The 16,858-nt window shown below is 37.3% G+C and overlaps 1 long non-coding RNA gene across 1 annotated transcript, besides 1 other annotated feature; it reads right to left on the bottom strand.

Moving 5' to 3' along the window:
* Positions 8,564 to 8,764: a silencer, noted in NCBI's record as "peak7140 fragment used in MPRA reporter construct". NCBI's record gives its function as "represses an SCP1 promoter by STARR-seq MPRAs in K562 erythroleukemia cells {active_cell/tissue: K562}" and the evidence as "EXISTENCE:reporter gene assay evidence [ECO:0000049][PMID:32103011]".
* Positions 14,538 to 15,034, bottom strand: LOC105375701 (uncharacterized). The gene is made up of 2 exons (XR_928525.3): positions 14,826 to 15,034; positions 14,538 to 14,716 (listed from the first exon to the last, which is right to left on the bottom strand). It is a non-coding gene; the product is annotated as an uncharacterized LOC105375701 (long non-coding RNA).
* Between the last annotated feature and the right edge of the window lie 1,824 nt (positions 15,035 to 16,858).

Raw genomic sequence — 16,858 nt, forward strand, 5'->3', positions numbered from 1 at the left:
CCAGGTTAAGTCATTTTTCTTATTTTGCTAAAGGTTTTATCATAAATATCATTAATGGGCACTGAACTTAAAGTCCTTTTCTCCACAAGTTGAAATAATGATGTCTTTTAAAAAGTATGTTAATGTGGTAATGTATATTAATGTCTTTTTAATATTGAACCATCATTTCACTGCTGGAATAAATCCAATGTGGTCATGATTTTTTATGCATTGTTATCTTTGGTTTGCCAATATGTTCTTAGAACTTTTCTGTCTATGTACACACAGTTCAAGATATAATTTTCCTTTTTGTTTGTCTTTGTGTGGTATTGACGTCAGGCTTATACAAACTTCATGAAATATCTTAGAGAAAGTTAGATGATATTCTGTCATCCAATTTCCTTTCTTTTCTGGCCTTCCTTTCTCTTCTCTTGAGCAGCTGCTGTGGAACCTCCGTTCATGCTCTCCGCTTTTGCCTTAGGTCTCCATCATCTTTAATTTGAGCTATAGCAAAGCTTTCCTCCCTTACCCACAGGATTATCCAAGTTATCTTTTCAAAACATCAGTTTCAAATAGTCCCCTGTTTTCTTACATAACAATATTCCTGAAAACTTACCAAAGGCAAATATGTGCAAGCCACCAGTGAAATTACATAAGAAAAAACTCCTGGAGTACAAAAAATTGATCCAAACTTCTAATTACCTTTCACCTTTTAGATATTGTCTTAAAAGTTTGTAATTAGCATTTCACATATGTTCTTTGACTTTGTTCTCTTCATTCCTAATTACTCATGCAGTCAACAGGCTTAGGTTCAATGAGTAACAAATTGAAGGTTAACAGTCTCTATGTGATGATTTCCATCTTTATCTCAAAGTTTATTCAGTTCATGAGGTCTTCACTTCTCACCTATATCAGCACTTTATTTTCTGTTGGTATAATATAGGTAAAACGCAATAAAACATACAATTTAAAAATTTGTGCTAAGATGCTGACACACCTGCAAATTACACAGCTTGCCCTACCAACAAAAACACAGGTAAATTTAGAACATAAAAGGCAATTTGAGGGTTTTCAAGCATCATGTTTGAAAGTGAGCATTCTTTGAAAATGTTAAAATGGTCAAGGGTTCTATTTACAAAAATTTTGGTGTTTCTTCATTGCTTGAAGAGTAAATTTAAACTTCTGAACATGCCATTCAATGCTATCCCTACACCCAGCTTATTTTTCCAACTGGAATGCCCATATTTTTCATTTCCATTATCCTGTGTACCACTCACTGTTTTCAAATATACCTGGTTTCCTTGCCATCTCCATAGTCATGACATACCATTAATCTAGTTTTACCATCTCCTCTTCTCTTCTTTTTAAATCACTTAAATTTTTCCAGGTTTTTGAAGACACTAACTCCAGTATGAATTTTCTTCCTTTCCTCTTATACAGTCAATAGACTTAGGTTCACAGGACAAGTTAATTTTTCCTCTACGTTCCTAGAATACTTATTTGTTTTGAAACAGTATCATCTGATTAGAGATAACTGTACCAGTTTGGGGCACAGCATTAATCACTTCTCCTTTTCATATTTCAATTAAATGGTTTCACTCGTTATATAATTCTTCCAACAATTTCTTCTTATTCCCAGGGCCTACATTCTAGAATACTTCTGAGGGTAAAAGTTCTGCTAACCACTAACACTTATGCAATACTTACAATGTATGTTTTGTATACTTGAAGCATATGGTCATAACAGCAATTCTACTGAGTACCTATTAGTATAATGCTTATTTTATATGGCAGGATACCAAGGTACAGAAAAGTTAAGTAACTTGCTCAAGATCACACAGCAGATCTCTGTGGCTTCTATCACTCTGAGCTTTGTGGGGAGGGAAGCTGTAGGCAAAAGGTGAAGAAACTGATTGTGTGAGTTACTCTGAAAACCAGGGTGGCACAAGTACATTTGGGTCTCAGATGACATAGTGTGCCACAGAGTAAGAGACAGACTCTCTTCTCACTTCTGAGTAGGCCTCATCCCGGCTTCAGTGCAGACAGGATTTAGGGGAAGGTGGTGGCTCAAACACCTTGAGGGTGTTCCATTTGGGCAGCTCTGGAAGCCAACATTCCTAGAACATCTATTGGCCTTCTCATGACCTGCAACAGCAGTGTTGGCACAGGAAAGCTTTCAGGCTCAGAGAACGTTGCAAAGGAAAGCATTGGGGTAGTAAATACTGTTGGGGTGATTTATCTAGTAATGTCAAGAAATAACTGGGTGAAACTTGGCTAGACTGTAAATCCTCCATTATGAGGGACTGGGCAAAAAACACTAAGGTCTGCATTATTCCTATCAGTAAGAGTAAGATTCCAACAGTGCCTATGATTTTGAGAAGTCTAGAAACTGTTCGGGATACAAAAATGATCTTATCTATTCCTCCACAATTAGCTTGCAAGATATGCATTATCATTTCTACCACAGACATTTATGAAACTGAAACTTAGAGAAATAACATACTCAAAACCAGGACTCTTGTAAGTGGTAGAGCTAAGATACAAACCTAGCTATTTCTGACTGTGAAGCTCACGTTCTTTCCTCTGTACCATGCTGCCTTCCTGTAATCACGCATTTAAAAAAAAGCACTCTATCTTCTGTTTGACAAATATAGGCAAAGCATTCCTTTCTCAGTACATGGCATTTCTCATGACCTAGAAATTAGAATTCATCGATAATTTTGTAAAATAAACTCCCCAGTGAAGGGTTTTGTCCTCACCTAAGATAGATAAGCTTCGGTAAGCTGCTACAATGTGATGATTCTCAATGTGGTTTTCCTTAGAGAATGTAGGTTCAGATGTAGCGATCACTTTTAATATGTGCATAAATGTGTGTATATACCACAGCTGTTCAACTATCAGTTCATATGGTGCACAGATGAGAGGAGGCCCTCCATTTCCCACAATACACAGCCTACCTCTAAGAAGAATTAAAAAAAAATGTTTACAACAAAATGTGTTTCCCAAGACATAATATTGCCCACAAATCTGGGCATTATTCTCTTAAGACATTCTTTGAACTCCTTCCTTTATTAAAAAAAATAAAAATAAAAATAAAATAGTGTCTCAGAAGTAAGGAGAGAGGGCACTATAATATCATTAGTAGAAACACAGCCCAAGCAGGGGATTCCTTCCACATTGAACTCGAGTCCATGTATTTCAGTTCTGATGAAACTGCAAATTTGATTTTTTCTTATAGGAAATGTGATTTTGCATTAGATTTAATTTTGAGGAATTTATGATTCAGAAGAAACATTAGTTCAATACATTCCAAAGAAGGGGGAAATGCCATTGCTATAGCCAAAGTTAACAGTTTCTTTGTGAACCTGAGTTCAATTTTTTACCATTATATGTAGGTCAGGAAAGCATATTATTGATCCATTTGGACACCTCAGCCAAGGATGTGAACGTTCCCTGGGGTGAGCTAGTTTAATCTGTATTTGCTTCTGTTTTGCTCTCAGCTGGTCTGAATTGATTGGGTCAAGTTGGTGAAGTGATGGCGTCCTTCCTTCTTGGTATCTAATTCTGACCCACTGAATGTCAACAAAGTTTCAGAAGGCAACGCCCCCTTGGTGGAGCTGAGAATTTAAGTCCTCATGCTACACAATTCGTGTTTTTATTGAAATGTACAAATACAACAGATATATATGTATGTAAATGTATATTATTAAAAACCATATTCATAAGCTGGGGCAGGGGTGATGGGAGGAGAGGAGAGAAAGCTATGTCTGGGAGTCCCAAGAGTCATTCCCTCACAGTTATGCAAAAGTTTCCAAATTAATGGCCTGAAGAAAAATCATGAATATATTTTTGCCAAGAATGTTTCCCCTAGTATTTTCGTCCCAATAAATTTTCTATGTGACTTAGAAAATGAATCCATTCCTTTCTAACATCTTTAACTTATTGATGTTCATGATTTTCTACACTTTTCGAATCAAAATGTGAAATAGAACATTTGTTCCAAAAAGATGCACTTTGAGTTTTGTATTTGGGATCTAAGTAGGTTGTTTAGATTATTTGAGGTTTCTCTTTTAACAATTATGAATAAACTACTGTTCTAGCACAAATATGGATGATGAAATAAAACTTGGAAGCAAGTTCAACAATGGAATCACAATGACAACTCATAAGGGTTATACCCCATGTGAGGCCTCGGCATTTCATTGAAATGCCTGTTGTTTCTTTAACAAACCAGGTGTCACAGCTTTTGGGACTGGTATGTGCAGGCCAAGTTACTACTGAAAGTTTAGCATAGTGTTAGAATATCTTAAAAGGAAAATTTGTTGAAACATATCTTCAAGTCAGTATTAGAATCTGAAAACCTTGCAAAATGAATACTTGTCCTATTCCCTTATGAAGCAATGCATTATCTCACTATTTTCCCACTACTCTGTGCCACTCCCATCTTTAGTCAGTGAAACTTTTTGTCTTTTGAAATCCAGTTCGAAAACCACCTTCTCCACAAATTCCTCCCATATCCTCCTCTCTCTTTTAAAGTCAGTTCTCTCCTTTAAATGCCCATCTTATTTTACCTGTATCTCTCTTGAGGCAGATTTAGTCTTTATTATGGTCACTTGCCTGCATGTCTTATTTTCCCTACTTGATTCTAAAAGCTCTTAGGGTTGGGTTCATTATCTGATTCATCTCTGAATTCTTCATAGGTACTTAGTCCTGTGTACAAGCCAGGAATAATAATAAAAAGACCTAACATTTATTGCATATTTACTATGTCCCAAGCAGTCCAGAAGGCATCATTTAATTCTTTGAAAACCATACAACATAGGTACTATTATTATTTATATGAGTATGAGACCCCAAACTTCAAGAGAGTAAGTAACTAGTAAATATTCAAACCCTGGCAGTGTGACTTAAAAACAAACAAACAAACAAACAAAAAAAACAAAAAAAAAAAAAGAGAGAGAAAAGGCACAAAATTTAAAAAAAAGTTTAGCAAGTAATTGACAGGAATTACAAACCAGAGATTAAGATTATATGTTTCAATCTTCACTACAAAGACATTAAATAATCTAAACCCCACTCTCTCACCCTCTTTATTACAAAAACAACAATTCATAGTTTCTCTATTTCTACAGTTTTCTGGTCAGTTTTGTCTTAACCTGGCAGAGCCAGAATTTAAGTCCAGGGATATTAAAATCCAAAGTCCTGTATTAACCATTATGCTAGGGCTTTCTCACCCTTTCAGGTTTATCCTAAACTTCTGTTGTGGCCATTTCCATCGTGTTGTTCTGTTGCCCTATTGACCAAGGGCTAGTGCCTCCACCTTTAAAGCCTGCCATATATTCTTAGGCTTCTCATTTCTTCCTCCAGCCTCCTGTTTCCAAGGTCAAGGCAAGTCATCATTTTCATTCTTTCTTTGTAGGTCAAACATTTATACCTTGTAACTTTCTTGTTGCTCCTCTCTTTGCCCTTTTCAAGTTATATACTTGATTTTAATATTAAGTGACCACCTTGAATTATTCAATTGTTGATCTAATAATTGTCCTGTGCCTTTTTTTTCTGACCACAATATTGACATGATGACACAGGCCGAATTGTTTACTCCACTGTCATGTGCATGAATACAAAAAAAACAAAGGAGCAGGTGAGAGTAGGGGAACTACCTGCCAGCTGGAACTTTAGAAAAGAATGATGTTCTGTAACCTCTGGAGCCATTGAGCACAATTGAACCTTGTCTATTTTTGGCAATATATAAAGGATAGATGTAATATTGTGGCTTCCCCCTCCGCCCCCTCCACTTTGGGGATATATGGAACTAATCTAGTGCATAATGGTAAGCAGGCTAGTAATCTTGGTTGCATGGAACTTTGGGTTAGAGTGCAACTTAGAACTATTTTTGGCATTTTCCTCCTATCAAGATTCATATTGATACAGCAATCCTGGACACATCTTTTCTATATTCCAGTGTTTCTGTGCTTGTTCTGTATAAACAGCATGACATAATTTTTCTTATACACATGGGTTATAGATTTTATGATATGATTATGTTGAGCTTTAGTATCTATGTTTTCTTAAGTTAGCCTCTGTCAAAATACCTAGGTATAATTAAGAATTTTAACATTTGTTTGCACATACTATACAATAGTCTTTCCTTCCCCCTACTTGTACAGGTTTTTCTCTTTCATATAAATTCCCCTAACAGAAAAAATATATATACACACACACACTAATGATAAAACACAATGTAACCCTTGTCATTACAATTATTATTACTCATTTAGGCAGAGAAATCGTCTTATCACAAGCATTGTTTTGTGACTTTTCGATTTTGAAAATTCAATTTGGCAAATTTGGTGACAAGTTTCCATAAAAGATTCACCGAATTATGTACTAAAGTCTATCTTTAATAGGCTGTTATCTTCAATCCATGTATAATTTAAATACACTCTGCATTTCCTTCTTTTGGTTTCAACTGTGTGTCTGAGCCTCAATGTTGCTCTACCTGAGAGCACTCTTCAAACTTTAACGTGCACACGAATCATCGAGGGATCTCATTAACAGCCACATTCCTAGCAGTTCTGAGAGGAGGGCCAGAGATTCTGCATTTCTACCAAGGTATCAAATGAAGCTGATGTTGCTGGTCTGTGGAAAACTCTTTGAATAGAAAACACCTTTATGCATAATAAGTTCTCAGTTAAACCAGTGGAAGAGGTATGCCTGATTCTTCTCTTTTCCTAAATGCAAAATAAATCAGTCATTCATTTAACAAATATTTACTGAACTCCACTCTGTACCAGATAAATCAAGTGTTCTCCTTTACATTGCAGATCCATCTACTTTTTTTCATTTCCACTGATTCTACTAGCCAACTTTATGCTACTATTCTTGTGCTTTGGAACTTTTGCAATAGCTGCTGAATGCATCTCTCTACGTACATCTTTGTTTTCTCTTCAATTCATTTTTTAAAATAGCAAAAAAATTGATCTTTAAAAATACATAGCATTCTGATGTATCGAATACATCAAACTTTCCCATTGACTCTTAAGATAAATTTCAAATTTTTTACATAAAAATTTTTGAAAGATCCTGCTTACATTAATACCTTCCTCTCCCTTTACCCTCCCCCTTGCTTTTGAGCTTCCAGCCACTTTGGCTCTTTTAGTTATTCAACTTGCTAAGCTTTTTCCCATCTCATGTCTTTCACACATGCTGTTTCTTTCCCTAGAATGCTCTGTATCTAATATTATCCACACTTCGTATTTCAGATTAACATCACTTCCTCAAAAAATTTTTCTTTGATTTTACAAACTAAGTCAGGATATCCTGTTATAAGCTCTTTTAGTGCCACTTATTTTCATTTGAGGGAAACTTTTCATAGACATAATTATATCATTAAATATGAAAATCAATCTACTTCCTTTGATAATTAGTTGTACGAAGGCATGGCTCTTTTCTCTTTTAAATTTCTTTTTAAAAATTTTTATTTATTTATTAATTTATTTGAGACAGGGTCTTGCTCTGTCACCCAGGCTGGAATGTAGTGGTGTGATCTTGGGTCACTGCAACCTCCGCCTCACAGGCTCAAGTGATCCACCCACCTCAGACTCCTGAGTAGCTGTGACCATAGGCACATGCCAACACAACATGCTAATTTTTTGTATTTTTGGTAAAGATGGGGTTTCATCATGTTGCCCAGGCTGGTCTCGAACTCCTGAACTCAAGGGATCTGTCCACCTCAGCCTCCCAAAATGCTGGGATTACAGATGTGAGCCACCATACCCAGCTTTTTAATTCCTATATGCCTAGTGCTTAGCATAGTGCCTGGGACATAGTAGGAAATGAATGATTTTAAAAATGGAAAGGGAATATTCTAGTTCATCTGAATCCCTCTGTTAAAAACAGAAGTAGTTTACCAATTTTTAAATAACTAGGCTATTAAAAACACACATGATTAAAATGTGCTCCAGTTTCTTAGATGTGTTAATGAGGTGTTTCAGCATCTTCCAGTTCTTCCACACCATTTATATGGTATCCATTTTTCTCTGAAATTCATGAGATGATTAATAGAGAACTTAAATTATTTGCATATTAAAAAACCCCTGCTGCATATGTATTTGAGAAGTGTTTAATATATTGCCACATACAACCTTCTACTGCTTCATAAATTGTTTCTGATGACACATAGCTTTTGTATATGGTGAATAATTATATTTGTTTAAGAATGCTTTGTCAAAAAGGAAGATGAATTTTCAGGAACAGTATCCCAGGAAACCCTTGTAATTTTATTATTTCGGTATTCTCGAATGGATGGCTTCATCCTTTATCTAGTTGACAAATTTCTTTTCTAATCATTTGTCAAAATATATTTCAAATCTATTTCTTAAAGTTCTGCCATCACTTTGGGACATAAAAGGAAAAGAAATGCAGGAATGCCTGACAATGGATGGCCCTTGAGCCTGCATGTCCCACTACTTTGGACCACAGGTCTAAGAGTTCTCTATGATTTCTTTAGAAAACATTATTTTATAAATATTTTTCAAGGTCTGGAAAGTTATCCTCAACTTTCTGAAATGAGTGGAGAAGCAAAAGTAATTTTGGAAAGTCCATGAGTTCTTCATTGCATAGGAAACAGGAAAATAATGCAAATTGGTGAACTGAAGTGATTCAGTTCGTGGCGTGTTTAACGTATTTTCAGAAGGCTGCTATTATTGTGTGACCCAAGAAGATCATAGGCAAAGACCTCAGTCCTCCCCAGGAGGACACATTGTGTATCTCCAAAGTGGTGATTCAGCTTTATTTTGAGCCCTGAGTGAAGTGGGGAGCATTATTCTCCTCAGGTCCACAGTGGGCTCCAGGCCAGCAGCAGCTGTCAACTCAGCAGGGTTTCAGCTCTCTGCTCAATGCAGATTGACTTGGAGCCCTTGGCAGGGACAAGTGAGAGACGAGTGAGTGCTTACGGGAAAAAGCTTAAGTTGTCTGTTCCCTCTTCATTGCTGATGTTTTACAATCCAAGTTCTACAGTAAACATCAGGAAAAAGCTGCTCCATCCTCAGTAGAAGTGCAAACATCTATTCTCACCAGCACATTACATCAATACAGCTTAACTGAAGGTCACTGAACTCCTGAACCAACCAACAAGGTGACGGTAGGCATTTTGTCCCCACGGAGGGCATCTGACTAAGGATGACTGCAGGGTTATTCTCGGCTGCATTCTTGCTCTGATTCTTAATGTTACTCACCTTCTCACATGTATGTCTCTAATCTTACACTGTTCTCAATGATTTCATACTATGAATATAATAAGCATTCGTTTTACTGTCTTTTGCCTTTTTCTAACAAATCTTATCCTAATTTTTGTCTTTTTAGTTAACAATTTAATGCATTTAAGATGTTTAAAATTTATCTTCTAGCAATACTCAATTTCCCAAATTACAGACAGGGTAAATAGCTAAGGTAACTAGCAGGAGTGCATCCAGAGACTCTATTAGTCCCTCTAGAGTATCTGAAGACTTGTTTTTGTGGTATTTTGGCTATTTCCCTCTGATTTTCATTTTCTTCTTGAAGTCAGACCTCATTGTTGCATCCCCAAAGGGTCCAGGGATACACTTAAGAACAATTTCATATTGTCCACATAGATTCTGGGGAAAACCACAGGGTTTAGAAAGAGTCACAGGAAATAAGCAACTTCTCACCCTAATTCTAATACTCTCATCTTCTTCACCATCTACATGAACCTCTCTCCTTCTTCCATCTTTTTTCATTGATGGATAATATTTGTACATATTTATGGGTTGCATGTAACATTTTGTTACATGTATAGAATGTAATGATCAAGTCAGGATATTAATCATATCCATCACCATTAGCATGTATTATTTCTATGTGTTGAGAACATTTCAAGCCCTCACTTATAGCTATTTTGAAATATATAACACATTGTTGTTAACTATATTCACCCAACTCTATTATTGAGCATCACAATTTTTTTCTTCTATTGAACTGTATGTTTGTACCCATTAACCAAACTATATTCTCCATCTTCCCACACACATACCCACATACTTGCCAGCCCCCGGTAACTGTCATTCTACTCTCTACCTCCATGAGATCCACTTTGTTAGCTCCCACATGAGTGAGTACATGCAATATTTGTCTTTCTGTATCTGGCTGATTTCACTGAACATAATGACCTCTAATTCCCTTCATGTTGCTGCAAATAACATGGTTTCTTTTTTTTATGACTAAGTCATATTTCATTCTATAAATATACCACATTTTCTTTATTCATCCGTTGATGGACACTTAGGTTAATTACATATCTTTGCTATTGTGAATAGTGCTGCAATAAACATGGGGTATGTGTATCCCTTTGATATACAGATTTCCTTTCCTTTGTGTACTCAGTAGTGAGACTGCTGCATTGTAAGGTAGTTCTAGTTTTATTTTATTGAGAAGTCTCTATACTATTTTCCATAATGGCTGTACTAATTTTGCATTTTCACCAATAGTGTATAAGTTCCCTTTTCTCTGCATTTTTGACAGCATTTGTTATATTTTCATCTTTTTGATAATAGTCCTTGACCTAAAACTAAAAAATTACTAGAAGAAAACACGAGAGAAATATTCTAGGACATTTATATAGGCAAAGATTTTATAAGTAAGTCCCCAAAAGCACAGACCAAAAAAAAAAAAAAAGACAAATGGGACCATATTAAACTAAAATGCTTTTGCACAGCAAAGGAAACAATTAACAGCGTGAAGAAACAGCCTGTTAAATGATAGAAAATGTTTGCAAAATATTCATCAGACAAGGGATTAATAGTAATAGCCAGAATACGCAAGGAACTCAAAAGCAAAAAACCAAACAACCCCATTAAAAAGTGGGCAAAGGATCCATATAGACATTTCTCAAAGGAAAATATACAAATGGCCAAAAGGTATATGAAAAATGTTCAACATCACTAATCATCAGGAAGATGCAAATCAAAACCGCAATATAGTGTTACCCCCGTTAGAATGGCTAATTACCCTCCTTCTATCTTTCCATTTCACTATAAAAACTTTTCATTCTTCTATTATTTAATAACATTATTCTGAGGCTTATGTTGCAGGTGGGCTAGGCAGTAGGGAAACAATAATAAATGAGACAGAACTTTTCCCTGCCCAGCTACATTCTGGTGAGGAAAACCAACAGTAAACAAGTGAACAGTAATAACCAGGAGAGTAAAGGGTTGCTGTTACAGATAGTAATGGAGACCAGTTCCTTTCTACGTAAAATATAAACACTTTACCTAGTGTTCAGGAAGACCTTCAAGAGTTGTATTTAGGCAGAGATCTGAAGAATAAGACCACTTCAAACATGCAAAGAACCTGAGGGAAAACATTTCAGGCAGAGAGAAAGGGCAGGATCAGGAAAGAGCTTGTGTGCTTTTGAAAAGACCTTTCGAAATCCAGTGTAGCTGTGGGATAGCAGAGTTTCACCGATTGAGCTTGGTGAGTGAGACTGAGGACAGATCACATGAGAACCCTGGAGGTATAGCAAACTCCTGAAGAACAATCTAGGCTCTTTGGGTGGAGTGACCTTGTGAGAACTGTAGTAATTGACTCTGAAACCCAAGTGATAATTCCAGGAAAATCACTGGCTTGGTAGATTATGTATAGACAAAATTGGCCTGGACCTGGGGTGGGGGTGAGGGTGAGGAAAGAAACTCAGGAAGTCCATTCTCATGACTATTGTTCACAGAGAAGTATCCAGAAGAATCAGCTTTTGCATTTTCAAGAGAACATTGTGGAACGTAATGTATACATTATGTATCTCCTAGCACCGGGAGAATGTCTCACCTTTTATTTCCAGTCCATACTTCTACCCACTCACTGGGTGATATGCTTATCTGTGCATTTAAGATCTATTTATCAGTCATCCAGGTTGACAGGGAAATGGAAAATTTTAGGGAAATTTAACTAAGCCCAGCCTACTTGAATTCAAACTAAAACCACCTCAGGAAATTTCTTTTAGTTTTTCATTTTCATGGTTATTTTCTACATGGATGTCTATTGAATTTGGACTTTGTACAATATTCCACATCTGTTAGTGTTTTACTTTTTTTTCATTATTAATATGCTTTCATCACCTCCCTTGTTGCATTTTAAAATGTAATCATTTGATTCCTAACCACCCCTCTCCAGTTGATTTTTGTTTGAGGATTACTATCAAGCTGTAAACTTCTGATACTTTGGTAATTGTTTTAGAAATTTAAAATACAAATGCACTTTCTGCATTATTTTCCAACAAAGCATTTTTAAAAACTTAACTTCAAATGAAAAGTTTAACTGGCTTCTTTGAATAACAGGTTGAGCCATAGGTGAAATAATATCTTATTATTATTTGTATTTCTGTATTTCAGAGCATGTGACTCTGTGGAGACCTAGGAAGAGTTACGAATACTGGCCCCAGAGGGTGGAATAACACATGTTCTATGTCTTAGTATGAGGAACAGATCAAGCAAGTAAACTATTCCCAGACCTTTATTACATAGCTCAGGTCTGGAATGATTATTGTGCTTCTGGCAAGACACAAAGGTGGAAAACAGACATTTAAGTAGAGTTAACATTAAAGGAATTATTGCATTCTTTTCTGAACATAATCACCTGTAACCGAAAAAGCAATGGTTCCACATGTCATGTTCTTTATTGATTTCTGTTAGATGTTGGTACTTGTTTGACCTGAGTATAGATGTCGGAGGTTGCTAACATAGAGATAATTGAGAACTTAATACAAGTATACTTGGTTTGCCAAGTGGCTATTGATAAGAATAGAGGAGTATATTTAGAGCAGGGAGGGGTCCCCAACCCTGAGGCCGTGGTCCAGAGACGGTTCGTGGCCTGTTAGGAACCAGACTGCACAGCAGGAGGTGAGTGTTGGGTGAGAGAGCATTACTGCCTGAGCTCCACCTCCTGTCAGATCAGCGGTGGCATTCGATTCTCATAGGAGCGCAAACCCTATTGTGAACTGTGCATGTGAGGGATGTAGGTTGCATGCTCCTTTTGAGAGCTAATGCCTGATGACCTGAGGTGGAACTGTTTCATCCCAAAACCGTCCCCTCTGCCACCTGTCCCTCCATAGAAAACTTGTCTTCCATGAAACCAGCTCCTGGTGCAAAAAAGGTTGGGGACGGCTGATTTAGAGTATATAAAAGCTAGTATTTCAAAAAACATAAATAGCATGCTTGTGTTAAAATACATAAAATCATGCCCTCCCTCTAACACCTATATAATTTTAAATAAATTGACATCTATTTTGTTCTCTTAGTGCAAATTTGTGGAAATAATTTTGTTTAATCACTTTGTCATATATATTTCTGAATACGTGTTGTAAACCTCTTTCTCAAGACATTTCTTAATCTGAAGTCCCTATTTTCGAGCTACCATCTTAATATCTCATTATTATTATTCTTCATTAACACTTTATTTCTCTTATTGAGACTACCTGGATTTTCTGAATATATTGTTATTGTCTAGGAAGAATTTTTCCATTATACAGCATGAGAGTCCTTTGATTAATATAGCTTTTACAAAATTCAAAAAATTAGTAATTGGACCAAGGCTAGTTCCAGAAAATACCTTTTTTTGGCTGAATACAACCAATATGCACCAAGCAGTGCATTGCCCAGACTGGAGTGCAGTGGAGCGATCTTGGCTCATTGCAACCTCCACCTCCTGGGTTCAAGCAATTCCCCTGCCTCAGCCTCCCAAGTAGCTGGGATTACAGGCTCCCGCCACCACACCCAGCTAATTTTTTGTATTTTTACTAGAGACAAGGTTTCACCCTATTAGCCATGCTGGTCTTGAACTCCTGACCTCAGGTGACCCGCCCACCTCTGCCTCCCAGATTGCTGGGATTACAGGCGTTAGCCACCGCACCTGGCCCATCCTCCATCTTTTAGCATAAAACATAGCTATCTACAAGAGACAGATACTCAGAACTCCAAAGAGAAAAATCACAAACAACTCTATTCATAAAGCTCTCTGGGCTTTGATAATACAATGTGTGATAATGGGAAAGAATAAAAATAGTTATCCTACCTTTCCTGTATGAATTTTATCTTAAAAGTATCCAAATAGCTTGTGAAGGAAAGTTTTTATTTATTAACTAATTCAGGCTAGTAAATTCAAGAAACGAATTTAGAAAATCGCCTAAAACGATTCTTGCAAAAACAGAAGTGTAACTCAGGCCAAAGTGTCAAGGTATTTTATCTAGTTAATAACAATAATAATAATAAAATCCTGTATACAGAATTTCAAACACTACTCCAAGGTCTCCTTTAAATAAGGATGGAAATTTAGACACAGAGAGGTAAAAGAACCTGGCCATTGTCATGCAGGAAGCAAGTGGCTTTATCCATACATACCATTATCAGAAGCTAAGTCTTGAATGCTGGTCTCTTGTCACTCTTAAGATATCAGACTGTGATTCTGGTGCTTTTTCTATGACACTCAAAGTAGAATGTCCTTGGAACGTCCCTGAGGATCTACCAGGGAAACAAAGGCAATGAGCCATCAAATAGCTGTTGTTTTTACTTTTATTTTGCTGGAAGGAGCCTGAAAATGAAATAGCGAGTGAAGACTCTGAGGCCTCTCTCCACAGATTGAAGTTTAGGGAAGTCCATGTCTGCAGTGGTCAGGTTCATCGATTGTCCCGTCAGTTTTAAGAAAAAACTTTGGTTCTCCATAATTAGTGGACCTGTGGGAAGAAGGACTCGGCCACAGATTCTTCCCCAGCCTTTTCCATAACTCTGTGGCTTACTGGTCAGAAAGAAGGAAAAGTATGAGGAAAACAAACGGAAACGGACCTTCTTTGCGCATTGGCTCTCGGCCTGCTCAATCAGCGGGCTGGACGCGGAGGCAACTTCCTTACTGTGTGCGGACTTCTGCGGAGTTCTGCGGCCTTCTGCGGAGTTCTGCGGCCTTCTGCGGAGTTCTGCGGCCTTCTGCGGACTTCTGCCTGGGGAAGTTGGGAAATATGTATTGTCGAATGAGGCCCTGGGAGATTATCCTTGGAAGCAACAACCTCTGAACCTGTGTGTTGATTGAAAATCTCTTACAGCCAGAGTTTCACAAACTTGATGCGATTGCCCCCTCCCAACACAAAAATTATTGGGGAACAGAAAAAAAATCATTAAGTTTTGAAATCCAATCGTATGAGTGTGGTTTCTTCTCAAGATAATTTATCTCTGGAGCACTGAGTTAGGGAAGTATGGAAATAGGGGATAAACTGTAAGACACTCTGCTGCTTTTTAGGGTTTTGTGAACCATTAAAATGTTAAAATAGTGTTATCTATTTACTCATAACTCATTCAACAGTGGTTTTTGAGCTCTTTCTACATGCAGAGCCATGGAATGGTTACGGGAAGGGATACAAAAATGGGAAAAAAAAAAAAAAGCATGATCCTTCAACTTAAGGAGCTGACACAATTTACCATCTTCTTAAACATTTATAAGAATAAATATTTGATATAACTATTACTTTAAGAGTTCAGTCTTTCTTGAAATATATGTAGCCATTCAAATATCATTTCGTCTCTCTTTCTCTCCCTAAGTTAGTGTCCTATGTTAGTGTCCTATGATAGTTAATATCTGATGTTAGTCTGAGCACATGAAGAATGGAGTATGGCACACATAACCTTCAGTTAATGGGAAGGGCCCGGGTCCTGAGGCTCCATGCTGTGACCAGCTCTAGGACAACATCCTTCCTCCAGCTGGTGATGCTAGTTGTCTTGCCATTTGCCACTGAAGCCTGTAGCTGACAAAATATCTGAATGGAGTCTTTCTCAGCGTGGTCAAGGCTGAGTAGTCTGCCCTGGGAAATGAGACTTGCATTGGCTTCTGCTGTGTTCAGACCCTGAAGGGGTCTGACTCCATGAAACTTCAGACTTGTCCTCTGCTCAGCAACCCCTGGTACGAGTCCTCTTGTCAAACTAGTGTGACAACCTCCCCAGCCACAATCTCAGTTGCTTTAAAACTCAGAGTGGTTGCAGAAAATTAACCTCTGAGGCATTCCTCCGTCTGACTGCCACGTGGTGCCTGGGTGCGTGGCCACATCCTGGCTTTGTGACTGTGGGATTTTTCAGAGGTAGCCTCTTTCTAGAGGCCTTCATGTGGAACAGGCATAGCTTTTCTCTGCCTTCAGCGTTTCCCTCACCCTTTTGAAATGTTCTCTCTTCTCCTCCTCAGAGAGGATATCCGTCTCACACTCTTGTTTTTCTCTTCTCTTCTCCTTCCCACAAATTCCTAGACCTGAAAAGTGTTGATCATTTCTTTTATTTCTCTCAAATCACATCTTCTCTTTATATTCAATTAACCCAGATGGAACATGTTCTCCACACCACAGTGTGTTCCTAGGCTTACTCGTTATAATCTAAAAGGGGGATAAAACCTCCATGGAATCTGAAAATTCTCTGCTCTTAACAATAGCCTGTTTTGATCTTAGAGGTTGAGTATTACTTTGCTTTTCTCTTTATAATATCCAAATGTCCCCTGAGGCTAATGGATGCTTCGGGTAAGTGAATTTTGTATTCAGAAAAGCAAAAGGAAAAACATATAATAATATGTAAGGCATCATCTTGTTTATATTTATTATGCTGATCATTTGGGCTTGTCTTTCTGCCAGAGGTCCAAAGGACTCAGGACTAAATCCTCATTCAGCACTAAAGAAATAAGTGAAACCTAGTCTAATTTTCAGTGTAACCTTCGTGAAACAGTGAGACCATAAACTTTCAGGAGTTTCTAGCAATGATGAGAAATAGTGCCAGAAGTTTCTAGAAATGACAGAAGCTACTCTAGGTGCAGTCAGTAGAGCCCTTGATGTAAGTAATCAATTGTCTCA

Source organism: Homo sapiens, chromosome 8 (genome assembly GCF_000001405.40).
Source record: "Homo sapiens chromosome 8, GRCh38.p14 Primary Assembly".
Classification (NCBI taxonomy): domain Eukaryota; kingdom Metazoa; phylum Chordata; class Mammalia; order Primates; family Hominidae; genus Homo; species Homo sapiens.